This window comes from Homo sapiens, chromosome 12 (genome assembly GCF_000001405.40).
Source record: "Homo sapiens chromosome 12, GRCh38.p14 Primary Assembly".
Taxonomy (NCBI): domain Eukaryota; kingdom Metazoa; phylum Chordata; class Mammalia; order Primates; family Hominidae; genus Homo; species Homo sapiens.
Window position 1 is genome coordinate 122964944 of NC_000012.12, and position 25347 is coordinate 122990290.

The 25347-nt window shown below is 57.6% G+C and overlaps 4 protein-coding genes across 84 annotated transcripts in view, besides 11 other annotated features; 2 read left to right on the forward strand and 2 right to left on the reverse strand.

The window, feature by feature from the left end:
• ABCB9 (ATP binding cassette subfamily B member 9) overlaps positions 1-10171 on the reverse strand; it is a 56505-nt gene extending 46334 nt beyond the window's left edge. For 10 of the 15 annotated variants that reach the window (XR_007063062.1, XR_001748647.3, XR_001748646.3 and 7 more), the window contains exon 1: positions 1344-1520. The gene's annotated coding sequence lies outside the window, so the exon portion shown is untranslated. Of the gene's footprint in view, positions 1-1343; positions 1521-8099; positions 8216-9571; positions 9627-9771 lie in introns of those variants that run through there. The other 5 variants (XR_007063061.1, NM_001437843.1, NM_001438398.1 and 2 more) reach the window with 3 other exon arrangements.
• Positions 161-968: an enhancer, noted in NCBI's record as "H3K27ac-H3K4me1 hESC enhancer chr12:123449651-123450458 (GRCh37/hg19 assembly coordinates)". NCBI's record gives its function as "activates a minimal SCP1, AML or CMV promoter by ChIP-STARR-seq in primed H9 embryonic stem cells {active_cell/tissue: H9 hESC(primed)}" and the evidence as "EXISTENCE:reporter gene assay evidence [ECO:0000049][PMID:30033119]".
• Positions 969-1774: an enhancer, noted in NCBI's record as "H3K27ac-H3K4me1 hESC enhancer chr12:123450459-123451264 (GRCh37/hg19 assembly coordinates)". NCBI's record gives its function as "activates a minimal SCP1, AML or CMV promoter by ChIP-STARR-seq in primed H9 embryonic stem cells {active_cell/tissue: H9 hESC(primed)}" and the evidence as "EXISTENCE:reporter gene assay evidence [ECO:0000049][PMID:30033119]".
• Positions 969-1828: a biological region, named in NCBI's record as "H3K27ac-H3K4me1 hESC enhancer GRCh37_chr12:123450459-123451264".
• Positions 1539-1828: a silencer, noted in NCBI's record as "silent region_5025". NCBI's record gives its function as "represses an Ori minimal core promoter by ATAC-STARR-seq in GM12878 lymphoblastoid cells {active_cell/tissue: GM12878}" and the evidence as "EXISTENCE:reporter gene assay evidence [ECO:0000049][PMID:35858748]".
• Positions 9746-10205: an enhancer, noted in NCBI's record as "active region_7247". NCBI's record gives its function as "activates an Ori minimal core promoter by ATAC-STARR-seq in GM12878 lymphoblastoid cells {active_cell/tissue: GM12878}" and the evidence as "EXISTENCE:reporter gene assay evidence [ECO:0000049][PMID:35858748]".
• OGFOD2 (2-oxoglutarate and iron dependent oxygenase domain containing 2) lies at positions 9783-15099 on the forward strand. Of its 7 annotated transcripts, none has more exons than NM_024623.3 (8): positions 9783-10178; positions 10868-10924; positions 11310-11458; positions 11711-11824; positions 11928-12027; positions 13499-13626; positions 13810-14067; positions 14140-15099. In NM_024623.3, the coding sequence occupies exons 3-8, from the start codon at positions 11450-11452 to the stop codon at positions 14401-14403; spliced, it is 873 nt and encodes a 290-aa protein (NP_078899.1). In that variant the 5' UTR covers positions 9783-10178; positions 10868-10924; positions 11310-11449; the 3' UTR covers positions 14404-15099. The 7 variants fall into 7 exon arrangements, with proteins under 7 accessions (NP_078899.1, NP_001291763.1, NP_001291764.1 ...); NM_001304834.2 differs by lacking the exon at positions 11310-11458 and adding an exon at positions 13038-13148 and having other exon boundaries at positions 13417-13626; NM_001304835.2 differs by lacking the exon at positions 11310-11458 and having other exon boundaries at positions 11928-12223; positions 13382-13626.
• Positions 14935-15154: an enhancer, noted in NCBI's record as "active region_7248". NCBI's record gives its function as "activates an Ori minimal core promoter by ATAC-STARR-seq in GM12878 lymphoblastoid cells {active_cell/tissue: GM12878}" and the evidence as "EXISTENCE:reporter gene assay evidence [ECO:0000049][PMID:35858748]".
• On the forward strand, positions 15290-17966 carry ARL6IP4 (ARF like GTPase 6 interacting protein 4). Of its 33 annotated transcripts, none has more exons than NM_001400282.1 (6): positions 15290-15442; positions 16186-16356; positions 16628-16936; positions 17014-17131; positions 17526-17595; positions 17677-17966. In NM_001400282.1, exons 2-6 carry the CDS (start codon positions 16197-16199, stop codon positions 17731-17733), a joined length of 714 nt encoding a protein of 237 aa, NP_001387211.1. In that variant the 5' UTR covers positions 15290-15442; positions 16186-16196; the 3' UTR covers positions 17734-17966. The 33 variants fall into 33 exon arrangements, 32 of the variants coding, with proteins under 32 accessions (NP_001387211.1, NP_001387210.1, NP_001387249.1 ...); NM_001400281.1 differs by having other exon boundaries at positions 16628-16866; positions 17088-17131; NM_001400320.1 differs by having other exon boundaries at positions 16652-16936.
• Positions 15311-15816: an enhancer, noted in NCBI's record as "H3K27ac hESC enhancer chr12:123464801-123465306 (GRCh37/hg19 assembly coordinates)". NCBI's record gives its function as "activates a minimal SCP1, AML or CMV promoter by ChIP-STARR-seq in primed H9 embryonic stem cells {active_cell/tissue: H9 hESC(primed)}" and the evidence as "EXISTENCE:reporter gene assay evidence [ECO:0000049][PMID:30033119]".
• Positions 15311-16322: a biological region, named in NCBI's record as "H3K27ac hESC enhancers GRCh37_chr12:123464801-123465306 and GRCh37_chr12:123465307-123465812".
• Positions 15405-16044: a silencer, noted in NCBI's record as "silent region_5026". NCBI's record gives its function as "represses an Ori minimal core promoter by ATAC-STARR-seq in GM12878 lymphoblastoid cells {active_cell/tissue: GM12878}" and the evidence as "EXISTENCE:reporter gene assay evidence [ECO:0000049][PMID:35858748]".
• Positions 15817-16322: an enhancer, noted in NCBI's record as "H3K27ac hESC enhancer chr12:123465307-123465812 (GRCh37/hg19 assembly coordinates)". NCBI's record gives its function as "activates a minimal SCP1, AML or CMV promoter by ChIP-STARR-seq in naive H9 embryonic stem cells {active_cell/tissue: H9 hESC(naive)}" and the evidence as "EXISTENCE:reporter gene assay evidence [ECO:0000049][PMID:30033119]".
• Positions 16055-16154: a silencer, noted in NCBI's record as "silent region_5027". NCBI's record gives its function as "represses an Ori minimal core promoter by ATAC-STARR-seq in GM12878 lymphoblastoid cells {active_cell/tissue: GM12878}" and the evidence as "EXISTENCE:reporter gene assay evidence [ECO:0000049][PMID:35858748]".
• Positions 17967-18536: 570 nt separating the features above from the next.
• The window catches only part of PITPNM2 (phosphatidylinositol transfer protein membrane associated 2), a 168369-nt gene continuing 161558 nt past the window's right edge, over positions 18537-25347 (reverse strand). For 15 of the 29 annotated variants that reach the window (XM_047429206.1, XM_047429204.1, XM_047429209.1 and 12 more), the window contains 9 exons: positions 24844-25005; positions 23781-23929; positions 23291-23407; positions 22842-22958; positions 22568-22716; positions 22338-22487; positions 21703-21886; positions 21493-21621; positions 18537-21407 (listed from right to left, as the gene is read on the reverse strand). In XM_047429206.1, the coding sequence (XP_047285162.1) occupies positions 21084-21407; positions 21493-21621; positions 21703-21886; positions 22338-22487; positions 22568-22716; positions 22842-22958; positions 23291-23407; positions 23781-23929; positions 24844-25005 (1481 nt within the window). In that variant the 3' untranslated portion in view covers positions 18537-21083. The remainder of the gene's footprint in view (positions 21408-21492; positions 21622-21702; positions 21887-22337; positions 22488-22567; positions 22717-22841; positions 22959-23290; positions 23408-23780; positions 23930-24843; positions 25006-25347) is intronic. The other 14 variants (XM_047429208.1, XM_047429215.1, XM_047429211.1 and 11 more) reach the window with 2 other exon arrangements.

Genomic DNA, 25347 nt, shown 5'->3' on the forward strand with positions numbered 1-25347 from the left:
GGCCAGAAGACGATAGATAGCAGTTATTATGACGCTGCAACAGAGACCCTTTGCAGAGAAGGCCAGGAGACAATAGATAAAAGTTATTATGACACTGCAACAGAGACCCTTCACCGGGCCCTACTATGTGCCTGGCACCTCCCAAAGCAGCCAGGCCTCCCCACTTCCCTGGGAGGACCCTGTGGTCATCAGCTTCGTTTTACAGCTGGGGAGACAGAAGAGGTTAAGTGACACGCAGAAAAAGGACGAAGGCAGGATGGAGACCCGCATCCAGGGTCTCCAGGATGGAGACTCGGGGGTCCCCTGTCCAGGCTATTCAGGGATTGCAAGAAAAGGGGCCAAAGAACTTGGGTGGCCCAGTGGCCTCGGTTCACCCCTGACATGGTGAGCTTTTTACCCCGGTGTGGGCCCAGACCCAGATAAGCCCATTCCATTCGCTGCGCAGCAAAGCACTGACTGACAGAGGCCTGCTGGGTGGGAGGGCCTGACTGTGGGGGTCCCTGGCTCTGGGGCAGGAGCGGGCTGGGTCTGCGTGGGTCCATCCTGATTTCATCCCTGCTGAGCCTCTGGCAGCCCACGTGGGGCCCAGCCTCACTCTGGGACTTGAGAAGCTGTCTCAGGTGCTCTCAGCTCTAGGAGAGGCAGAGAGGCGCGAGGTGCCCTCCCTCCAAGCCTCCTCTTGTCACCCGGCCCTGCACTATCCGGAAAAGGGGAATGGGCAGAGGCGGGGATCCTGTCAGCCCAGCTTAAAGCTGTCTCAGTTAATGTCAGGCCGGGGGAGGAGGCTTTTTTTTTTTTTCCAGAGGCCCAGAAATAAAAGAGGCTCCCCTGGGAACCTACAGGCCTCACTGCCAGCGTGGATGGCGGGGAGCAGCGGCAGCCCACTGGCCTGCTGAGGAGACTGAGAAAAGGGCTTTGCCCAGGTCAGCAGGAACAGGCCAGATCCCCCAGGCTTCTGCCAAAGCCCTGGTGCTCAGGATCCCTGGGAAGCCCTGACATGGACAGTGGGAGCCCTCAGAAGGCGCGCCAGCCCCGTCCTGGGGGAACGACAGCCATCCCAGGATCCTCCAACACCTCCCACATTTTCCAAGAGGCAGCGGCGCCTTGGGGGTTAAAAAAAATGGCAACATTCGCCCTACGGGCGCGGAAAGGATGCTGCAGGGATGGGGGCTGGGAGCTGCGGCTGCGGGCTCCGGGAGGGCTCCAGGGAGGCTCCCACCTTCAACCGAGATGCCTATTCCCACCGAGGCAGGGGTGCCCAGACGCCCCCCAACGCGTGCCTGGCCTGGCACCCTGGCCTGGAAAGGTCCCAAAACCAGGGGTCTAGGGTGCCTTGCCCTTACCTGTTACCTGGCACCAGGTGAGCTCTGGGAGGGGGCGCGCAGCAGGCTCGGGTCTGGGGTGCAGTTTCCGCGCTGCTCATTGAAGACTGCGCCGGACGCGGTCCTCGCTCCGCTCTTCCCGCTGCTCCTCCCCGCCTCCCACCCGCGCTGCGCCGCTGCAAGGTCGGAGCTGAGACTGGCGTGCGTTGAGACAGGCTGATGGACGGGGCGGGGCCTCAGTGACGGAGGGGGCGGGGATCCTGGGGCAGGGACCGGCGGAGCCTCCCGGGAGGGGCGGGGCCTCAGGAGGAGTGGGCGGGCTTTCCTGGACGGGGCGGGGCCCCCGAGGAGGGGGCTGGCGAAGCCTCCGGGTGGGGACGGGCCTCCTGGGGGCGGGGCCACAGCTGGCCACCTGCTCACCTGTGGCAAACTCCTCCCACATCTGGCCAACCAGGCCCTCCACACTGCGTGCTGGCCTCCACCTGGAGCCACGGGCCCATCCTGAGGGGACGGAAATGGTTTCACCTGAAGGAGGCCAGCTTTTTAACTGGCCTTTTTCCCTGGAGGGACAGCCAGCCAGTCCAGGAGGGTGGGTTATGGTCCTCATTCATTCACTTATTCTTTCATTCGTTCACCCAACAGATATTTATCCAGTGCCTACGGCGTGCCATATGCCCTTTTAAGCATTTGAAATTAAACAATTAACAAAACAAGATCCTTGCCCTTCTGGAGCTGACATTCTAGTGAGGGTGTCAGACAACACATATAAGCAAATGAGATATATTGGAAGGGAATACATTTTACGGAGAAAATTGGTGCAAGATCAGGGATTCGGGGCATTGGAGAGGGGAGGCAGCGATATGTCCTCAGTGACTGCCAGGTGCTGGGAACACAGCTGTGTGTGAAAAGACAGAAAACTCCCAGCCTTCATGGCGTGAAGGGGACAGAACATCAGCAAGTAAGTGCATAAGGCCATTCAGGTACTGGATGCAGTAAAATAAATAAAATTGTGTAAGTGAAAGGTGAGAAGGCGTGAGCCACGGGGAGGGAGGAACATCCTACGCTAAGGCCTGCAAGTTCAAAGGCTCTGAGGTGGGAACCAACTTGGCCACTTGAGGACCAGAAAAGGGTCCATGTGGCCTGAACCGTGGGAAGTGGGTGGGGGAGTGGACTTACGGCCCAGAGGGGCAGCAGGTGGGGCTAGAACTGCCCACATCCCTGGATCCTCTGATCAGAGGCTTTGTTTTTTCCTGAGACAGAGACTCCAGGATGGAGTGCAGTGGCGAGTTCTCAGCTCACTGCAGCCTCTGCTTCCCAGCTTCAAGTGATTCTCCTGCCTCAGCTTCCCAGGTAGATGGGATTACAGGTGTCCGCTACCACGCCTGGCTAATTTTTGTATTTTTAGTAGAGATGGGGTTTAGCCATGTTGGCCAGGCTGGTCTCAAACTCCTGACCTCAAGTGATCTGCCCTCCTTGGCCTTCCAAACTGCTGGGATTAGAGTCGTGAGCCATGTGTGCCCAGCCCTGAACAGAGGCTTTTTGGAGCACTCTCTGAATTGGAAATGTCCTCTGCTACTTGGTGGGACAGCTTCTTTAGAGGGGAATTTGTTCAGAACTTACAACACTATGTTTTTTTTTAACCCAGAAGGAATTTCCTCTACAGATAGACTTGTGCAAGGGAGCTAAGGTACTAGCTTAAAGGTAGTTACTACAGTAGCAAAAGTCTGGAAATAACCTAAATACCCTTCCATAGGGAACTGGCCAAATAATTAGAGAACACCTGTTCAACAGAATACTCTGTAGCCAGAAAAAAAAAAATAGAAGACATAGAGTTATATAAAGGTATGGAATGACCTCCTAAATGTATTGAGTAAAAACCAAGGAGAGAATAAAGTTGAACCATGTTACTATTGGTGCAAAAACAAAGGCAAATATCTAATTGTACTTGAAGACGATATCTTGGATGGACTGTCCAAAAAGCAGGAGTCACTCAGAGCTGGGCTCTGTCATTTATGCTGTGTGACCTTAAAGAGGTGACTTTGCCTATCTGAGCCTGTTTTCTCATCAGAGAAATGGGGTAATAAAGATATCGACTGCATCAGGTAAAGGTAAAATGTGACAAGGCCAGTGAGGGCAGCCCCTGGCATGTGATAAACTTTCAGTAAAGGAGAACAAGGATTATTTTTAGGAGAGATGGGATGACTGAACCTTTATGTAACTACTAGCATAGTATAGCAAAAATCAACAGGAGCTGTCAGAAATGTGAAACGGACAGAAACAATTCGGCCTCATCACATGCTATTTCTTCACATGGATGTTGCTTTCCAGCGATCAAGTTTGCAAGCTCTCCAGTCTCTCATTCCTCTGTACCTTTTTTTTTTTTTTTTTTTTTGAGATGGAGTCTTGCTCTGACACCCAGGCTCACTGCAGCCTCCACCTCCTGGGTTCAAGCATTCTTCCCACCACAGCCTCCCGAGTAGTTGGGATTGCAAGCATGTACCAACACGCCCGGCTGACTTTTGTACTTTTAGTAGAGATGGGGTTTTGCCATGTTGGCCAGGCTGGTCTCAAACTCCTGACTTCAGGTGATCCACCCACCTTGGCCTCCCACGGTGCTGGGATTACAAGCATCAGCCACCGCACCCGGCCTCTCTGTACCTTTGCATAGCTTGTCACCTCTGCCAAGGATGGGCTTCTCAAATCCTGGCCACTGCGTCCCTTTCACATATCTGGCCCACTCTCCTTGCACTTGAAACAATCTTAGAATGAGAGCTTGGTGAGGCGGGGAAGGTAAGCTGCAATGTCAGGTGCACTGCAGGAGGCTGTCAGCCTTGTGACAAGGGGAGGGTGAAACAGGTGAGGCACAGGTGAGTGGGCCACCAGTCACTGCCTTCCCAGCATCCTTTCCACCCCCCCCCCCCCCCCGGCTGCCATGTGGCAGCCAACTGGCTTGAGTGGTCCCATTTGCATCCCCAGCCTAGTCACAGAGACTGGCTCTGGTAAACTTGGACTAAGAACCATTGTGTGAGTGACTGCTAATGGATACGGTGTCTTTTTGGGTGAGGAATGTTCTAAAAGTTGATTGTAGTGATGGTTGCACAACTCTGTGAATATACTAAAAACTCTTGAATTGTAAACTTTAATTTGGTGAATTGTATGGTATGTACAGTGTATCTCAATAAAGCTATTATTACAAAAGGAAGTCCAGGCAATGTGGCTTATGCCTGTAATCCCAGCACTTTGGGAGGCCAAGGTGGCAGGATCACTTGAACCCAGCCCGGGCAACACAGTGGGACCCAGTTGCTACAAACAATTTAAAAAATTAGCTGGGTGTGGTGGCACATGCCTGTAGTCCCAGCTACTCAGGAGGCTGAGGTGGGAGGATTGCTTGAACCTGGGATGTTGAGGCTGCAATGAGCTGTGTCCATACCACTGAACTCCAGCCTGGGCGACAGAGACCCTGTCTCAAAAAAAAAAAAAAAGAGAAAGAAAAAACACTCCATGCCATATGCCATAAAGGAAATGCAAATTAAAACAGCAATGTGATATCAATACACACACACTAGAATAGCTGAGATCTGGAACACTGACAACACCAAATGCTGTCAGCGATGAGGAACAACAGGGACTCTCATTCATTGCTGCTGGGAATGCAAAACAGTCCAGCTAGGGAGGAAGGCAGTTCGGCAGGTTTTTTTATAAAACTAACTATGCTCTTACTACATGATCAGGCAATCACACTCTGTGATATTTACCCAGAGGAAGTAAAAATTTACGTCTACAGAAACACCTGTCCACAGATGTTTATAGAAGCTTTATCATTATTACTTTCGAGATGGAGTCTCACTCTGTCTCCCAGGCTGGAGTGCAATGGCATGAACTCAGCTCACTGCAACCTCCGCCTCCCGGGGTCAAGTGATTCTCCTGCCTCAGCCTCCCGATCAGCTGGGATTACAGAAGCCTGCCACCATGCCCGGCTAATTTATTTATTTATTTATTTGAGATGAACTCTTGCTCTGTCACCCAGGCTGCAGGGCAGTGGTGTGATCTCGGCTCACTGCAACCCCCACCTCCTAGGCTCCAGTGACTCTCCTGCCTCAGCCTCCCAAGTAGCTGGGATTACAGGCGCATGCCACCACGCCTGGCTAATTTTTGTATTTTTGGTAGAGATGAAGTTTCACCATATTGGCCAGGCTGGTCTAGAACTCCTGACCTCAGGTGATCCACCTGCCTCGGCCTCCCAAAGTGCTGGGATTACAGGTGTGAGCCACCACACCCAGCCTGGAAGCTTTATTCTATTGAATGTTTCCAACACGAAGAAATGATAGATGTTTGAGATGATATATATGCTCATGACCCTGATCTGATCACTATGCATTATATGTATTGAAACATCACTACATACCCCATGAGCATGTAAAATGATTTATCGACTAAAACATAAACAAAAATAAAATAAAATAAAGCTTTATTCGTAATTGCCTAAACTTGGAAGCAACTATGATGTCGTTCAGCAGGTGAATGGATGCACTGTGGTACACCCAGACAACAGAATATTATTCAGTGCTAAAATGAAATGAGCTATCAAGCCATGAAAAGGCACGGAGGAACCTTCAATGCACATTCCTAAGAGAAGGAAGCAATCTGAAAAAGCTCCCTACTGTATGATTCCTACCATATGACATTCTGGAAAAGGCAAAACGGTGGAGACAGTACAAAGATCAGTGTTTGCCAAGGGTTAGTGAGAAGGAAGGGGTGAGTAGGCAGGGCACAGAGGATTTTTAGGGCAGTGAAACTACTCCATATGATACTGTAATGGTAGATGCATGCCACATACATTTGTCAAAAACTATAGGCCTGTAATCCCAGCACTTTGGGAGGCCAAGGCGGGTGGATCACCTGAGGTCAGGAGTTCGAGACCAGCCTGGCCAATATGGTGAAACCCTGTCTCTACCAAAAATATAAAAAAAAATTAGCCAAGTGTGGTGGCACACCCCTGTAATCCCAGCTACTCAGGAGGCTGAGGCAGGAAAATCGCTTGAACCCAGGAGGTGGAAGATGCAGTGAGCTGAGATCATGCCACTGCAGTCCAGCCTGGGCGACAGAGTGAGACTCCATCTCAAAAAAAAAAAAAAAAAAAATCAAAAACAAACAAAAACAACAAAAAAACTATAGAATATGTTTATTTAATTTTTAATGATTTTTTTGAGACAGGGTCTCATTCTGTCACCCAGGCTGGGGTTCAGCAGCATGACCTCTGCCCATGCAACCTCTGCTTCCCAGGTTCAAGTGATTCTCCCACCTCAGCCTCCTGAGTAGCTGGGATCATAGGTGTGCCACCACAACCAGCTAATTTTCGTATTTTTCATAGAGACGGGATTTTGCCATGTTGACCAGGCTGGTCTCGAACTCCTGAGTTCAAGCGATCTGCCCACCTCGACCTCCCAAAGTGCTGGGATTACAGGTGTGAGCCACTGCGCCCAGCCAAAAACTATAGAATATATGAATCCTAATGTAAACTGCCAGCTTTGGATGATAATGAGGTGTCAGTGTGGGTTCACTGACCATAACAAATGTACTGGCTCGTGTGGGATGGTGATGGTGGGGGAGGCTGTGTGTGCTGTGGCTATACTTGCTACTCAATTTTGCTGTGAGCCTAAAACTGATCTTAAAAAAAAGGAAATCTATTAAAAGTGGTTAAAATGGTAAATTTCGTTATGTAGATGTTATCATAATAAAAAGAATGTTCATAGCAGCTTCATTCATAATGTCTTTTTTTTTTTTTTTTTTTTTTGTTGAGACAGAGTCTCACTCTGTCACGCAGGCTGGAGTGCAGTGGTGCAATCTTGGCTCACTGCAAGCTCCGCTTCCCAGGTTTACGCCATTCTCCTGCCTCAGCCTCCCGAGCAGCTGGGACTACAGACGCCAGCCACCGCGCCCGGCTAATTTTTTGTAGCCAGGATGGTCTGGATCTCTTGACCTCGTGATCCACCCGCCTTGGCCTCCCAAAGTGCTAGGATTACAGGCGTAAGCCATGGCGCCTGGCCTCATTCGTAATGTCTTTAAACTGGAAACAGCGTAAATGTCTGTCAGCTGTAGAATGGGTCAATGACTTGTGGAATGTTCACTCAAGGGAATAGAAAGCAGTCGAGAAAAATAACAGGGGCGCTTCTACGGGGGCTGGAATGTTCTGATTGGGATCTGGGTGCTGGTTACATGGGTTTGTCCAGTGCTCTATGTTGACTTTTTTGTTTTTGTTTTCTGAGACAGAGTCTCACTCTGTCGCCCAGGCTGGAGTGCAGTGGCGCAATCTCGGCTCACTGCAGCCTCCGCCTCCTGGGTTCAAGTGATTCTCATGCCTCAGCCTCCCGAGTAGCTGGGATTACAGGCGTGTGCTACCACGCCTGGATAATTTTGTTATATTTTTAGTAGAGACGGGGTTTCACCATGTTGCCCAGGCTGGTCTCGAACTCCTGACCTCAGGTAATCCGCTGGCCTCAGCCTCCCAAAGTGCTAGGATTACAGGCGTGAGCCACCACACCTGGCCTCTATGTCAATTTTTAAAGTATGTGTAAATATACACATATACAGACATATACATATGATTGCACATTCATATACATATATTCACATACACATATACATACGACTCTGGAATCAAGATACTCTAATTCTGGAGCGTTCTAATTCTGGTCTGCTACTCACTAGGTTTATGACTCTAGACAGATTCCTGTACCCACCTCACTTTCCTTATCTGTAAAATGGGGGTAATAATACCTTAAGCAGTCAACAAAGATACATGTCAGCGCTGGCTGGCAGCACATGTTGATTCAGTACTTGCTGGTAAATATTCTTCTTGCTGCTGCTCCCTTCGGTGACTGAGCCCAGAGTGTCTGGAAGGAGGAGAGGGTCCATGGAGAGGGCCAATCTAAACTGATAAGCAGGCCAGGCGCAGTGGTCTCAGTTCTAGACCAGCCTGGCCAACATGGCGAAATCCCGTTTCTACTAAAAATACAAGGCCGGGCGCGGTGGCTCACGCCTGTAATCCCAGCACTTTGGGAGGCCGAGGCGGGTGGATCATGAGGTCAGGAGATCGAGACCATCCTGGCTAACAAGGTGAAACCCCGTCTCTACTAAAAATACAAAAAATTAGCCGGGCGCGGTGGCGGGCGCCTGTAGTCCCAGCTACTCGGGAGGCTGAGGCAGGAGAATGGCGTGAACCCGGGAAGCGGAGCTTGCAGTGAGCCGAGATTGCGCCACTGCAGTCCGCAGTCCGGCCTGGGCGACAGAGCGAGACTCCGTCTCAAAAAAAGAAAAAAAAAAAAAAAAAAAAAAAAAAAAAAACAAAAACTTTGGGAGGCCGAGGCAGGGGGACCACGAGGTCAGGAGATCAAGACCATCCTGGCTAACACGGTGAAACCCCGTCTCTACTAAAAACATAAAAAATTAGCCGGGTGTGGTGGCGGGCGCCTGTAGTCCCAGCTACTCGGGAGGCTGAGCCAGGAGAATGGCGTGAACCCGGGAGGCAGAGCTTACAGTGAGCCGAGATCGTGCCACTGCACTCCAGCCTGGGCGACAGAGCAAGACTCCGTCTCAAAACAAACAAACAAACAAACAAAAAACAAAAAAATTAGCTGGGCGTGGTGGCGCCTGCCGATAATCCCAGCTATTCGGGAGGCTGAGGCAGGAAAACTGCTTGAATCCGGGAGGCAGAGGTTGCAGTGAGCGGAGATCGCGCCACTGCACTCCAGCCTGGGTGAAACTCTATCTCAAAAAGTAAATAAACAAATAAATAAACTGATAGGTACAACACACTCATCTTGCAAACTGCTGCAAACGGAGAGGGGGTGAGGGTGGGGTGGGGTGCTGCATGTGCCAGGCCTGCCTGGTGGGTGGCTGGGGAGCCGACCTGCCCTGGGCCTCCTGGGGAAAAAGGGCAGTTAGGCGGGTAATGAACATTGATCTGGGGAAATGGATCCTTTCCTAGATAGCAGGGCCTCTCACTATCACTGGGCAATCAAGACGACTGTAAAACGTTAAACACCTTCTCGGGCCGGGCAGCTCTGCACGAGAAAACCCCAAATCCCACATACTTCCACCACTCCCAGAAGCCCTGTGGTGGTTAACTGGGGAACTCTGTAGGGTTCAAACGCCATATTTGCCCCTTACTGGATGTGTGACCTGCGGCGGGTCCCTGTGCCTCTCTGGGTCTCAGTTTCCTCATCTGTAAGACGGTGATATAATAGTACCTAGCTCAAAGGTTTAATGCTGGTAGATTCCTGAGCAAAGGTCCGGGGAGAGAAGAGGCTCGGTCTGCAAGAGTTGTCATTTGTTGGCTGCGGTGAGACCACGCCCCGTCGCCCTCCCACACCTGACCCCGCCCTCCCGCGTCCATTGGGAACGCCACCGGAAGTAATGCGAGACGGAGCGTTTTGGTGGAGACACTCACTGGGGCAATCTGAGGTAATCCAACAGACTGTGGCGGAGGGACCGGAAGCGCCAGGCAGGGACCCGGGGTAGATGCTAAATCCAAACTGAAACGTACAGGGCTGGATGATTGAAGCACCAGCGGGAACTAGTCGGACCTCCGAGCTCTTTAAACTGTCCTCAGCTCGGCTGGTTCTCCACGAGCTCCGGGCAGACGGCGGGGGGTGGGTCGGCGTTTAAGTCAAAGGCCTTGGGGCTCCGAGTCCCTTCCTCTCCCCGTCCTGTGAAGGCACGACCCAGTTCAGCTGTCTGTAAAGTGGAGCCATTAGTCCCTGCCTCGTAGTGGGAAAACTGGGAGGCGGAACGAGGAGGCCGCCGGTCCCAACCCGGCCCAGGAGCATCTTTCTCCGCAGACCGTTTCCTGGCGAGGTGCGTCTTCGTCCTTTTCCGCCCTTGGGAACTTAGAGCGGCCCCTTGGCCGCTGGTTCCGCGCCTCCCGCGGTTGGGGGCGTGCCCGAAGTCTCTCTACGGAAGCTGGTAGGGCTGTGGGTGCTTCACTATGGCGACGGTGGGGGCTCCGCGGCACTTCTGCCGCTGCGCCTGCTTCTGCACCGATAACTTGTACGTGGCGCGCTATGGGCTGCACGTGCGCTTCCGAGGCGAGCAGCAGCTGCGCCGGGACTACGGCCCGGTGAGTGGCCGCTGTCGTCCCTACGGAGCAGTGGGCAGAGAGGGGTAGTGGAGGAGGGAAGTTCGTCCCCAGGGTCGTTTGCTTTGCGCACGCCGCGCACCGTATCTTCAAATACAAGAATGACGGCCTCTCTCTGCCTCGGTTTTCTCACCGTAAAGGGGTAATAGTATCTCCCTGTGAGATTGTGAGGAAGGAATGAACAAGCATGTAGGGTGCTTAGGACAGGGCCGGGCTCAGCTTGCCGCCTCACAGCAACACCAGCCCGGAGCCCTGTCCTGAGCTTGACAGGGTTCCGCAGTTCATTCTCTCCATGATCCTTTGAGGTCGGGGCTCCTCTCCCCATTTTAAGCAGGGGAAACTGAGGCTTAGAGAGTGAAGGGATTTCCTCAGGTCATACAGTCATGCTCAGTGTTCTTTCTGCTCCCAGATCCTGCGCAGCCGAGGCTGTGTTAGCGCCAAGGACTTCCAGCAGCTGTTAGCAGAGGTACCAGTCCCCTGCCCCTGCACAGCTCCTCCTCGTTAGATTTGTGTCCGCAGCTTGAGGACACAGCTTGAGCCTAGCCTCAGTCCCTGATCCCTGAAGGGTCACTTAGGCCCTCACTTTCCTCCTTCCTGCCCCCCACTCATCCCTCCACACCTGAGTCTTGGCACCAGGAGAGAGAAGGGGAAATGCTAAGTTGCTAAGTTGCCTAGTCATGCCGTTCTTAACAGCTCTGTGAGATAAGCACAAGCACCACTCTCATTTTGGATTGAGAAGCTGAGGCTTAAAGAGGGATCCCTTGCCCAAGCTTTTACAGCAGGAGCAGATGTGATCCCAGCCACAGCTTCCAGGCCCCTGGGCTCCTCACACCTTACCATATACCCCGCAGGCTGCTGCCAGGGCTGCTGCCCCACTCCCTCCTCCTCCTTCCCCTGGAGTCAGTGGTGGGAAGCTTCCCAGGAGAGTCCTCAGCAACCTCTGGAACACAGGACTTGGCCATGACTGTCTCCTGTCCCTGTGTGGGCCCAGATGGTTGAGGTACATCTAGGGGTTCTCATCCCAGCTAGGCTCAGGTTGGGGCAGCCTGAAACAGGATGGGTCCCCTTCTAGAAGTCCCTTTCAGCTAACAGTCTGGAACTTGCAGTTGACCCAGATAGATTCAGGAGTGTAGGCTAGACTTGGCTTCCAGCCTGGGCCCTGTCTGGCGTTCTGGGCTTCAGTTTCTTCATCTGTACAGTGGCCTCAGGAGGATGGGAGGCCCCACCTGGTAACAACCCTGTGCCACCCCAGCTTGAGCAGGAGGTGGAGCGGCGGCAGCGGCTGGGGCAGGAGTCAGCAGCTAGGAAAGCCCTCATCGCGAGTTCCTACCACCCGGCACGGCCTGAGGTCTACGACTCACTGCAGGTACCAGCCAGCCAGAGTGCTTGAAGGCCGGTACTGGAAAGAGGAGGTAGCATCCAGGGCTGGGGGTGCTGCCTGCCCCACAGCTGGTGTGTTTTGCTCCCAGGATGCAGCTCTGGCCCCCGAGTTCCTGGCCGTGACTGAGTACAGCGTGTCCCCAGACGCAGACCTCAAGGGCCTTCTCCAGCGGCTGGAGACAGTATCGGGTGAGGTCCTGGCCCTGAGACCTGGCAGGACCAGGGAATGGCAGCCTGGGAAACCTGGGTGTGGGATGCTGGGGTCCCTCCAGCCACCATCTCTGCCTCCAAAAACCAAACCAGCAGGAGCTGGAAGGGTCAGTGGGACCAACCTGCCAGGAGCAGGACATCCGCATTCATTCATTCAATACCTGCCATGAGCCTGGTATCTTCATTCTTTCCTTCACCCTTCCTTCGTGCCCTCATCCAGCAAATAGTGGATATTTGTGTCATGTGTGGGACAGCTGGCACACTCAAACAGGGCTGATCCAAGATCTTAAAGGGACCATTGAGACAGGTATGGGCAGGATAAAGGGACCAGTAAGGAATGGCAAAGCCCGGCCCCCCAGGGCTGGCAACAGGAGGGAGCAGTTACCACCTGGAGTTGTGGCTCTGGGCGGAGGCCTGCGGCCATGCCAAACTCCAAGTAGGGCAAAAAATGCCCCACTTCTCTTCGGATTTCTTGCTGGGCTCACTTATTGGCTAAACCCAGCAGGAAATGCTGGGCAAGGGAGGTTTGCGTGTTGTTTAACCTCTGATTCAGTTTCCTCATCTGTAAAATGGGAGCAACAGTAACCCCCTCTCTTAAGGCACTGCGACGATCAAGTGAGTTAATCTGCATAGAGTGCCTGTCACAGGGCCCGCACGTAGTGTTTGGAAAGTGTTTCCTATTCTTATTGGCACTGATAGCCTGGGCTAGGGGCTCCTGTGGGAGGCAGATACAAGTTTCCCCTCATGGAGCCTGTGCTTTGTTGGGAGTCATGGGTGGAATGAATCCCCCTCCTCCCAGCCTGGGGGTGCTCTCCTCATTGCCTTCCACTCCCCGGCAGCTGAGATAGTGCTGAGGCTGTTGGCTGGGGCAGGGCCTAGGCTGCGAGGTGGCCCCATCGTGGGCACACTAGCCCTGCACCCCTGGGCATTGGTGCGTCCGCCAAGAAATGTTTAGGTTTCCATTCTCAGCCTGGTTTCTTCCCCCTCAGGGCCCAGCAAGAAAGAACAGCCCCTTCTGGCCTTCCTGCTGGGGGACAGAGGCTCCCAGAGCCACTTCTGAGTTGGGGTACAGACTTCGGTGGCTCATCAGATGAAAGGAGGTGCAGAGAGAGCCTGAAGTTGGCTCTGTGATCCCGACTTGGCTGTCACTGGCCTGCTGGGTGTCCCTGGGCTACTTCCTTCCCCTCTCTGGGCCTCAGGACCCATATGTGAGCTCCCAGGGCCAGCCCTGTGGACACTTGTAGAGTCTGGGGAAAGGTTCCGGGCATAAGTGGGGGGCATGGGAATCGGCCTCCCCTGCTCCTCATGTTACTTCCTTAAGTCATCACAATAGCCCTGAAAAGCAAAGGCCTCATCTCCATGGCACAGGTGATGAAACAGGAAGACTGAAGCCCAGGCCTGGCCGGCCCACGGCCACATTCAGGCCAACAGACCATCCCTCCTTCCACAGAGGAGAAGCGCATCTACCGGGTGCCTGTTTTCACAGCGCCCTTCTGCCAGGCCCTGCTGGAAGAGCTGGAGCACTTCGAGCAATCGGACATGCCTAAGGGGAGGCCCAACACCATGAACAACTACGGGGTGGGTGAGGCCTGGCCGGTGGCAGAGGAGGGGGTGGCTGGGGTCAGGAGGCAGTGTCAGAGGTTCTGCAGATGGGCTGCCTGCCCGGGCTGCGAAAGAAGGTCACAGTGGGATCACCGTGGAGTGGAAGCCCAGGGTTGCAGCCCTCTAGTTTCCTTGCTGACCCCAGGAATCCCCTCCCAGGTGCTGCTGCACGAGCTCGGGCTGGACGAGCCGCTGATGACACCACTGCGGGAGCGCTTCCTGCAGCCGCTGATGGCCCTGCTGTACCCTGACTGTGGCGGGGGCCGGCTCGACAGCCACCGGGCCTTTGTGGTCAAATACGCACCGGGCCAGGACCTGGAGCTGGGCTGCCACTATGATAATGCCGAGCTCACCCTCAATGTGGCCTTGGGCAAGGTCTTCACAGGGGGCGCCCTGTATTTTGGGGGCCTCTTCCAGGTGAGTGTGTGACCCATGCGGCAGGGCCTGGGGCAGCTGTGAGTGCCCAGGCCTGAGTCGTGCCATCTGCAGGCACCCACAGCCCTGACGGAGCCCCTGGAGGTGGAGCACGTGGTGGGCCAGGGTGTCCTCCACCGTGGCGGCCAGCTGCATGGAGCCCGGCCCTTGGGCACTGGTGAGCGTTGGAACCTTGTCGTCTGGCTCCGAGCCTCTGCTGTGCGCAACAGCCTCTGTCCCATGTGCTGCCGTGAGCCCGACCTGGTGGACGATGAGGGCTTCGGTGATGGCTTCACCCGAGAGGAGCCCGCCACGGTGGATGTATGTGCGCTCACCTGAGCTTGCTTGGGCCCAGTGTGGGGGTGGCAGGCAGGTGAGGGCTCCGTTGCCTTGGTCTGGGGGCAGAAATAAAATCCCCGCAGCCTACTGCACTTCTTGGCTCAACGGTGTGCCAGCTTCTGGGTCATTCTATGGGCAAAGATGCTGCCTTAGTTCAGGTTTGTCAGAAGCAGGGTCTGGAATGGGGCTTCAGCGAGGGAGTCAGGGAAGCAGGGGAGGGGAGGGAGCAGCTGGGCAAGGAAGTGGCTTCAGAGGACGTCCAGCCTCAGCTGGCCCCACGGAGAGCTCCAGGCAGAGCCCACAGTACCACAGTGTGCCCACACCACCGGTTACTGGCTCCTGGATGAGGGGGCCAGAGAGGAGTGAATAACTTCCCAGACACTTATCTCCAGGGCAGGGTGCCTTCCAGTAGCCAAGGGAAGCCTCCAGAGAGCACAGATGTGAACCCTCAGCAGCAGGCATCACCCCCCAGTGGACTCGGGTGGGCCACCAGTAGCATCTTCTAGATGGCAGAGGGGTGAATGGCAGGGCCAGGAACCAGGCTGCCCGGGTTCCCATTCTGCTTCTGCCACTTCCAGCTGTGTGGCTTTAGGTGAGCCTTCACCTTTTGGTGCCTTCGTTTCCTCATTTAGCACCTACCTCCTAGAGCTGTTTTGGGAGTCAAATGCGCTGACGTATATAAAGTGCTTTGCAAGATCCCTTTGTGTTTGCGGCTGTCATTGTGGAAGAGTTGCAACTTGGGGGCCCGAGATTGGATGAAGCGCACAGCCACGCTTTGGGTTACACATTTGAAACTCAGGGGGCTTCCATATTGCAGTCTTGAGTTTGGTCTCCCTGGGAAGGTGGGGCACCAGCCCCATGCCACGTTGCACGTATCAGCTGGAGCAGAATCCTGGCTTCCTTCCGGATGGGCCTGGGGTCCATGCCCGCGCTCACTGCCAAGATCTTTCTGGCCCCTACGGACACGAGTTTGCGACCTCTGAGTCACTGGGTGGGCGCGTCGGAAAGACCAGGGCGCCTCAGTCTGGAGCTCGCAGTCGTATGGAGAGGGCAGGACCAGCCGGGGAGGAGGGCGGCGCGCGCGAGGGTCGCCTTCTTCCCAGGGCACCGGGGGCGTGGGTGCTGCGGGCGTGCGCCGAGAGGGCAGCCTTGGAAGTGGGCGCAGCTTCGGCAGACACAGGCGTGAGGGGCTGCGGAGCTCGAGGGCCGGCGCCCCTGCTTGCCTCTGCGGGAGGTGGGCGCGCCCGGGACGGAACCTGGGGCGTCAGAACGAAAGGCAGCGGCGCCGCGCTTCCCAGCCGGCCAGCCTCCCGCGCAGCGCCCCGGCCGGAAGCCTCCTCGCCGCCGCTTCCTCTCGAGAAGGCGCGGGGCGGGCTGTCCGGCCCGCAGGGCGGTCGAGGTGGGAACGGAGCAGCCCCGGGGGCCCCCTTGAGGCGGCGAGGCCGCGAAGGGCGCGGGGCTGGAGGGTAGGAGAGCGCGGGAAAGCGCCCCAGACGCCACTCGCGGCGGACGGCGGCCAGTTCCCAGGGGTTTGGAGCCGGGTGCGCAGGCGTGGGGCCTCCGGGCACGGGGCGGGCCCTTAACAGGCACCGCTGCGGGGACTGGAGTCGGCGGAGAAAACCGGGGTCCCCAGCGCTGGGGGTGGGTGAGGGTCGCTCATTTTCCCGGGACGGTGACGGGTACTGGGCGTCGCCAGGCCCCGGCCCCGCTAGAGCCACCCTTGGAGCCCGCCCGCGGCCGGCCTTGGGGGCTTCGGCTCAAGCGCGTCTTCTTCGTCGCCAGCCCGCGGCGCCATGGCTCACGTCGGCTCCCGCAAGCGCTCGAGGAGTCGCAGCCGGTCCCGGGGACGGGGGTCGGAAAAGAGAAAGAAGAAGAGCAGGAAAGACACCTCGAGGAACTGCTCGGCCTCCACATCCCAAGGTCGCAAGGCCAGCACGGCCCCTGGGGCGGAGGGTGAGGACCACAGGCATCGGGGAGAGGAGGCGCAGTTACTACCCGGGGAAGTCGGGCGAGCAGTGGTCGGGGACGCTCAGTCATGCCTCTGTGCAGCCGGGCCTGAGATGTGAGGGCCAGGCGCCGCAGGAGCCAGGAAGGGGCTCCTCTGGGAAGCTCCATCTCTGTTCTGGAAAGCCCCTCAGGAAGCGCTCACCCTGTAGCCGGTCTGTGCCTGCCCCAGGCCAGAGCAGGGGACGAAGGTTTACCTCTTCCCCTCCTGGCCTTCCAGCCTCACCTTCTCCCTGCATCACAGAGAGAAGCAAGCAGAAGGCCCGGAGGAGAACAAGATCCAGCTCCTCCTCCTCTTCTTCCAGTTCTTCTAGCTCCTCTTCTTCCTCCTCGTCCTCCTCCTCTTCCTCCAGTGATGGCCGGAAGAAGCGGGGGAAGTACAAGGACAAGAGGAGGAAGAAGAAGAAGAAGAGGAAGAAGCTGAAGAAGAAGGGCAAGGAGAAGGCGGAAGCACAGCAGGTGGAGGCTCTGCCGGGCCCCTCGCTGGACCAGTGGCACCGATCAGCTGGGGAGGAAGAGGATGGCCCAGGTACTGTGCTGCCCAGCACCTGAGAGGGAGAAGGTCGCTTCCCAAGGCCTGGCCACCACCTCCGTCTTCCCTTCCAGTCCTGACGGATGAGCAGAAGTCCCGAATCCAGGCCATGAAGCCCATGACCAAGGAGGAGTGGGATGCCCGGCAGAGCATCATCCGCAAGGTGGTGGACCCTGAGACGGGGCGCACCAGGTGGGGAGCTTTCGGCCTGACTTACACCACAGGATCTGGGAGTGTTGGCTGAAGATGTGTGCTCTCGGGAGGAGTGGGGCCGGGCGGGGTTCCTGGTGCCTGAAAAAGGCCAAATGTGGGCAAAAATACGGTCACTTGGAGTAAGTAGTTGCAGGGGCTGGAAGGGCCTGGAGGAGGCTCTTGAAAGGGCTGTTGTTGGCCGGGCTGAGGCTGGCAAGGCAGAGCCCAGCTCCACTGCCTTCATCAGGGAGAGTGGGTGAGGCCCCAGGGTCTGTCCACTCAAGGCTGCGGGGTGGGAGCCCTGGGACCCCTCTGCCGGCTGCTTGTGGTTCTGCTCCTCTGGCATTAGGGGACCTGCCTATTCCTTGCTGAACGGAGACCCTCCCACCCCCAGGCTTATTAAGGGAGATGGCGAGGTCCTAGAGGAAATCGTAACCAAAGAACGACACAGAGAGATCAACAAGGTGGGTGTGGCCCCTCTGCCTGCCATCCGCCCCCAGCTCTGTTTGTGATGTACCCCTCCTCCTGTGTGCTTTCTTCCCCAGCAAGCCACCCGAGGGGACTGCCTGGCCTTCCAGATGCGAGCTGGGTTGCTTCCCTGAGGGCCCCCGCTGGCCAAGGCCTGTGGACGACGCTGGCGGCCCAGCCTGGGCAGGTTTCAGGGTGCCAGTGGGAAGCCTGATGGGTGCTGGTGGCCTTTCCCCCGTGGATTGGTCTCTGGCCCAGCCCAGTCTCTTCTCAGGGGCAGGGGGTGGAGGTTGGGGTCACCGGCCTGCTTGGCACCCCCATCTGAAAGAGCAGCACTTCTCAGCTATTAAAGGCCCCCTGGATAGACTTTCTCTGTTCTGTGGCTTTTTGTGCTGAGTGGGAGGGAAGGGTGCTACATGACTGCCAGGGAAAAACAAGGGCTCCGGGAGCTTTTGGGCAAAGCTGGGGTGTCCTCTGGTGGTCGTGAGCACAGGCCACACCAGCGCCTGTGCCTTCCTCTTCAGGTCAGCCTGCCTGGACCAGACCTCATGCCAGCTGAACCCCAAACCCAGAGAGCTGGCTCTGAAATGCCATGCACTCAGGCATGGAGAGAGTCGGCTTCCCCTGCCATGTTCATTCCACAGATCGCAGCAGTGCAGAGCCAGGTGCTGGGGCTGGGTGGCCTGTGTGGCAGGTCTGGCTCTCACTGCCCAGCTGTGTCTTCCACTCTGAGGCAGGGAGGCTCACAGCACCCGTTTCACTGAGGTCTGTGAGGGCAAACTGAGTTCCATCCCAGGAAGGAGCTAGAAGCAGGCTAGGCCTAGAGTCAGCCCCGCACTCACGTGTTGGCGTCACTGTGAGTGTCACTAGCATTACTGTTCCATGCCCCCATCCCACCATGCCCCACGGTCGCCACTGCAGTAAAGAGATCCAGAAGGAAGCCTTCCCGCTTCTTTAATTGGTGTAACAGACATGACGTTGTATACAGAGCACACTCAGGCCCAATGATGCGGGGACAGCAGGGACGGATGGGGAGATGGGGACACTGCTCACACATGGCCCAGAGAAACAGACGGCACACGGACAGACCAGACGGGAGGGGCTGAGACGTGAAGGCTGTGATGGGGTGGGCAGTGGGACTCAGACCGAGCCAGGGAGGGGTGGGGGGTCTCTGCTGAATCCCTCTTTAGAAATCAAAGAGAAGGCAGGTGGTGGGGCGTGGGGGTGTGGTGGGAGTGGGACTAAGGCTTCTATTCTAACAGGCCTGGGGGGTGGCAGTCAGCAAGGCCTGCCTCACCCTTTGGTTATGACTGGTCAGGCCTGAGCCCTGCAGCTCAGCACCCAACTCTGTAAACATTTTTGGTATTTTTAAAGGACGCTGCCCTCCCTCTCTTAGTTTCAGAAAGACTGGTACTTCCTCAAGAGGAGAATGTGCCAAAAGGAATCTGAAGGGAGGTGGAAAGCAGACCTGGATACAGAAGAGACTTCCCATGGGGGGGCAGGCTGCCCACCTTGCCATCTATGGCTGAGGGCCGCTGGGAGAGCCCCAGGGGACTATTGCTGTTGTCCTTGGCATGGCTGGCGGCTGGGCAGGCAGGCGGGGAGTGAGGAGCCGTGGGGGAGCTGCCCCCCTGGGGAGAGGCTGAGCCCACTGCCCACAGGGCCTCCCGGCCTTTATTGCAGGAGGGCCCGAGACTCTTCCAGGTGCTTCTCTGGATGGCTGGTCTCCCAGGCAGCAGGCAAGACAGGATAAGGTGGGGCCAAGAGAGGAGGAGGCACTGGCCACAGGGCCCCTGACAGGGGCTGTGATTGTCGGGCCAAGCAACTTCCTGCTGGGAGCAGGGGGGTCAGATATTGCACTTTCACTGCAACAGTTACATGAAAACTTGGTCCATAAAATAATCGTTGCTTTATACATAATGCCTGAAACAACAAAAAGCTACATCTTAAATATGAATAAACCCTGAAGGTTCCATCCCTCCAGACTTTTTTCTCTGCACAAAATAAATAGCTTTCACTCTGTATAGACCCACTTTTGCAGAACATTTACACGACCCTTTGGCTGTACATATCTACACACGGGAAAAAGTTAACATCACTCTGTGCACCTCCCCAGCCCGGTCCATGCGTCCCAACACCAGACCCAGGTCGGCCGTAGCTTCTCGGGGACAGAGCCTGGTCGCTGGACAAAGGCCGAGGCCAGGCAGGCTCTCCCACTTCCGGGAAAGCCGAGGAGCAGCAGAGGGGCCGCCGGAGCTGGCCGTTGAGCGCCACAGCCAAGGTCACGCTTGGTGCTGGGGAGAGAGGGCAGACGGTCAGACCCAGCGTGCAGGACAGCATGGTCCTTGTTCAGGCGAGAAATGAAGTCATGGCTGCCTGCCCTGAAGCTGACAAAGCAAGTTGTGGCTTCTTAGATTCGGCATGAAAACGGAATTGGCATTAAAAAAACCGAAGTGTGTGCCCCACCCACCCCAGAGTAGAAATTCAGTGGGATTGCCGGGGCCAGGTGAGGCAAGGAGCCCATGCCTCGCTAAGTGGGCAGGAGCAGGGCCCACGGGACCCAGAACCAGGCTGGACTCCGTCACAGTGCTGGGTGTTTTCAGTGTGGAGGGGCTGCTCTCAGTACTGAAAGAGTTAAGAAAAGGAAGCAGCCAAGGATTGCTCGTTTAAAAAAACCTCATAGAAATCAGATTGAGAAGTAGAAAGGCGTAGAAACGTGGGCGGGCGGCCTTGACTGATGGCAGGGAGCGGAAGAGGCGGCCAGGCCCGTCCAGCCCGTGGCCTGAGGCTGGAAACAACACTGGCCTGGGCTCCAGGCGGGGCAGGCAGACAGGTGGGCAGGGTCCGGGGTGCAGAAATTAAGATACAGCCTTTCTCTCCTGCTTGCACGAGGCTCTGCCGCACTGGAGCCTTCAGTGTGGTTGTAGGTCCTGGGTCAGCAGGTACTGAGTTTCATGCATGTCAACGGGGCTGTAGCCATAGGAGGTGGTAATGGGTCTCCGCTCTCAAAAATCAGTGCAAAACCAGTGAGGTTGAACAGTTGAGAAACTCGAGTTAACAAGATGCAGGCTGGACCCCTGTTGGAGCTGCTACCAAATGGGAGGGGACCTGGGAGTGAGGGTGGCCAGTGGATGGGGAGGTGGCAGGCTGCGCCTGGGCCCACACCTGGCACCAGGACACTTGGAGATCCACACAGGGCAAAATGTCTGGGAGAACCTCCCGGGCCAGTCTGAGTGGGAGGTTCTGGTCCCTCTGCCATCCTGGGGCTGGTGGTCCCTGCCAGCTTCCATGACAAGCCGGACCCGTCAGGCCCGAGGACGTGAGGCAGGGCAGGGAGCACTGTGTGGTGCGGCCCGTGTCCTCCACAAGGCCCTGGGACAATCTCCCAGGCCCACGTCAGTGCGTGTGCCCAGGCCAGGCCTCCTGGCGGGGCTGGCCACCCTGGCCTAGCACCATGGAGACCCCGCGCTGCACTCACGGTGCCCTACTTGGGGCCCGCGGCTGCCCCCGGCTCCAGGCGGCCAGTCATGGCGCGGCCCCAGCAGCCGGCCGCCACACTCATGCTGCGCTGGCCCCGCTGCTCGCCATCCGCCTGGCTCTGTGTCCGCTCGTGCCGGTGGCTGGGCCCGCTGGGCTGGGCCGAGATGGTGCGAAGCAGGTGGTTCCGGGAGCGCAGAAAGTCGCCCTGGCCGGGCAGGCCGAAGCTGCCCTTGCGCAGCGCCATGCGGGTGGCCGTGTTGCGAGCGGGCCGCGCCCGGTGGCTGTACTTCAGCTGCGCCAGGTGGGCCGCGTAGCCATCCGTGATGAACTGCGGGGTCAGTGAGGACGGCTGTCACAGGCTGGGGCTCCCCGAGCTGCCCGCCTGCACCCGCCCCCACAATGCGCCCACTCACCTGGCACTGCTGCTGCAGCTTCTTGGTGGGCCGGCCCACGATGTAGATCTGCATGGGGGACAGGCTAATGGCGCTGTACACCGCCACGTCCTTGGTGGAGCCATAGGCCGCGTGCACGCGCAGGTGCAGCTGTGGGGAGACTGGCATGGGCACAGGCACCATGGTCCCTCTGCCCCCACCCCTGCCCTGCCCCATCCTCCCGGGCCCCACCTCGGAGATGAGCAGCTTCAGGAAGTTGGCCTTGTGCCGCAGCGGGTCATGCACCAGGCCGTCACAGAAGGACACCACGCCATGGGGGAAGTTGTGCTGGGCCAGCCACGCCACCACCCGCTGCTTCTGCATGTCGGGCCGGCCCGTCACGTAGATGATGAGGTAGCCCAGGTCCTGCCAGTGCCTGGGGGTGAGGTGTCGTCTCATGGTCACCCCTTCCTCCCTCCTGGGCCTCCCTGTCTCCTGCCCAGCCAGGGCCCACTTGGGCCATTGGAAAGCACATCTCTGATTGAGCTCAGACAGTAACGACGACAATGGTTGACAATGACGTGCTGCAGCAGGCCCTTGGGTGCCCGCACTGGGCGGCAGATGCCCCTGCTGCTGTGTCCCTGGCTTACCAGCCTCACCTTCCAGATGCGGGAATTGAAAGCCGACATTGAGAAGTGACATCGCTTGCCCAAGGTGACACGGCTAATAATTGGGGGTGCTGGGCTCTGAACTGAGGTCCTTAAGGCCCAGTGCCCGAGCCAGGCGTCCCCCACAGAGGCTCCGCTGTCCTCCTCCACCTGGCTGGTGGGAGCCCCTGAGCCCACCCACCTTGCTACAGCCCCTTTGTGCCCCTCTGGGCCACTCACCGCACCACGTCCACGGCCCCGGCCCGCACCTTGGGGTCGCTGCCCATGATGGACACGCTAGCGGCAAAGGAACCGTCGATGCTGAAGACCACGAACTCTGTGCCCTTGGGCAGCACGGTGATGTAGCTGTCGGCAAACGTGTGGTCTCCCCTGGCAGGTGGTGGGGGTGCTCATCAGAACCACCCAGAGCCTCGCCCTGCCTATCCCGCCCTCCCAGTGCAGGCATATACCTGACCACCATCTTGATAGGGTAGACACCCACGCCCAGGCGGTGCGACTCAGGGATGGTGTAGGAGACACGCCCACTGTTGTTGGTCACCAGCGTATCCAGGTAGAGCCACTCGCCTGAGGGCGGCTGGGTCATGATGTGCACATCCACCTGGGCCCAGCAGGCTGGTCACGGGCTGGCTGTGTCTGGCCTCTCCACCCCCTGCACCCCGGCCAGAGGGCAGCAGGGAGCTCCCCAAAGTCCCTCCATGTTACCCCTACCCGCCGTGTCCTTACCTTCTCCCCAGTCAGGGTGACCATGTCCAGGGGCCCATACATGAACCTGCCCGTCAGAACCTGGGGGCCGTCCTCATTGGCAAGGGCATCATTGATCCGGTGGTTGGCCGTCACGTTCTGTGGAGGGAGTGGCAAGCCCAGGTCAGGGGGTCGGAGGGCACCCCGGGTCCCTGTGTTCTGCTCAAGCTCTGTGGGCCTGAGGGGCAGGCTTGAGCTGTGAGCTGCGCAGCCCATGTCTGAGTCTGGATCAGACACGATGACGTGGCTTTGGAGAAACTAGGAAGCCTTGCTGCCTTCCCTGTCTGTGAAGTGGGCTGACAGCTCCAACCTCATGGCCTGGGAAGGTACATAAGACTGCAGGCTTCCCTGCAACTCAGTTTCCTCATCTGGACACGGAGGCTGGTGACAGGGTGACATCGTGGGGGCCTGGGCGCCCGGGGGACCCTCACCCGCAGCTTCACGTGGGTCCGCTTGCGCTGCCACTTCTCCCTTGGCTTTGAGGGGGTGAACACCGACACTTCCTTGCCATCCAGCTCCAAGATGCTGGAGTTGTCATGCCTCATGACCTGGGAAGAGGGGACAGTGCAGGCTGTGGGGCAGATGCCACCCGGGGGCTTCCTGCCCTGGGAGGAGGAGGCCCAGTACCCGGGAGCAAGAGGAGCCTGTGGGTTGTAGGGGGTGTTCTTCAACTCACTACTGTCTGCCCAGTAGCCCTCAGACCCCTGTTCGTTCACCTGACGAATGTGCAGATATGTTCCCTCCATCCCAATGTCCTGAAAAGCCTGAATACACCCGAGCATAAAGGTGCCCTCATCTTGCTTGCTCTGTGATCTGATGGGGTTGGAGAGGAGTCCCCACTGTCCCCTCGTCTGTGAAATGTGGCCCTGTCATGGGTGTTGTCACTCAGGGCCCTCCTGGGAGGTCCCAGGCCCCGGGTACCTGTCTCAGCAGAAAGGAGACCACGTCTGTTGACTCCCAGTAGCTGGCGTGGAAGAGGTGAGGCAGAGCCACCGTGGGGAAGGCCGTGAGGGCGTCAGGGCAGTACAGGGCGTAGTCGATCCGCTTCTGGCCCCACCACTTTGCAGCGACTGCCAGGAGGGGCCGTGACTGGGCTGGGGCTGTATAGCCCCAGACAGGGACCCCGAAGGGTCACCCGGCCCCTCTGGCCTGCTCAGCCCAGCACAGTCCCCCCACCAGCTATAGCCAAAAGTGAGTCTTCTCCCAGGCTGGGTGAGTGAGGCAAGCGGGAGGGAGCGCAGGCAAAAGCACGCAGACCCAGGACAGTGGTGAGTGCCAGCCCTGCTGAGGGGCTCCTGCGGTTGCGTGGGAGGACCAGTCGCCATCTGTGGGATGGTACCAGCTGTCTGTGGTCCCTTCCTGACTCTGGTGACCCTCTGCCCCGTGGCAACCCCATCTCTGCCCTCTCTGGGCCATTCCTGTTCTCCTATCTTCCCCCAGGCCTCAAGGCTGGGAAAGGCGGCACAGAGATGGGGTTACAATTCCTGATCCCCAGGGCAAGGGTGCTGCCCTTCTCGCACCTGGGCCACCCTACGAGCCCTGAGACACAGCAGTGTGGGCGGGGAAGCCTGGGCCTCCAGATGGATGGTCCTGGGTGCATCTGGCTCTGCCACTAGGGGCTGGGCGAGGACAACCTTCCTGAACAAGACAAGCTTGTAAAGTGCCCCCTGGGCTGTCCGCAGGAGAGGCCCAGCAGCAGGGCCTGGTTTACAGGTCCAGGCTTCCCTAGGTTCTGCCCACAGCTTTCCCCGGAGCTTCCTTGGTCCTCATCTGGCCTCACTCCAGCTCCGTGGGGTCCCTGGTCCCCCACCCCACCAGACAATGCCACCAGCTCCCACCTCCTCCCTAGATGGCCAAGTCCTCCCAGCCCAGCCCCCAGCTCCCTGTTAGGCCGAAGCGGGGGTCTAGGTGGGCAGAGCCTGGCAGTGAGGGGTGCTCAGCAGCAGAGTGACCCCCAGTGAGGGGAAAGTGTGTGGGGTGGTACCTTCTCCAATGTCCAGCTCAGGGAGGCCAGGGGCCCTCTCCAGGCCAGGGCTTGCCTTCCTGGCTGGAGGGTGGGGGCCAGGGGTGGTGGGGCTGGGGGCGGGCAGGGCGAGCAGGGACAGACGCCTGACGCTGGGGGTATGGCTGAGCGCATCGGGGGCCTCTGAGAAGCAAGAGCAATGGATGGCTCAGCCACGCGGGGATGACCGCACTGCCACGTCTACCAGGGGCCAGGCAGGACACTGGGACAGTGCCAGGCCTGGAGCTATCAAGGGCGAGCCCATTGGCCCTCCTCACGGATGAACACAACTGCCAGCAACCCCCACCCCAGCCTCAGCTCCTGCATGGCCACCCTGACCACAGCTGCGAGAATCCCTGGCCCAGCACGGGGCGCAGCCCCTGGCGGGGACTGAGAAGGGAACCCGGGCTGTGCTTCAAGCACCAAGAGGCTTCATGCAGGAGCTAAGCATGAGGAAGGCGGGGCCCTTACTAATGCGCCTTCTTC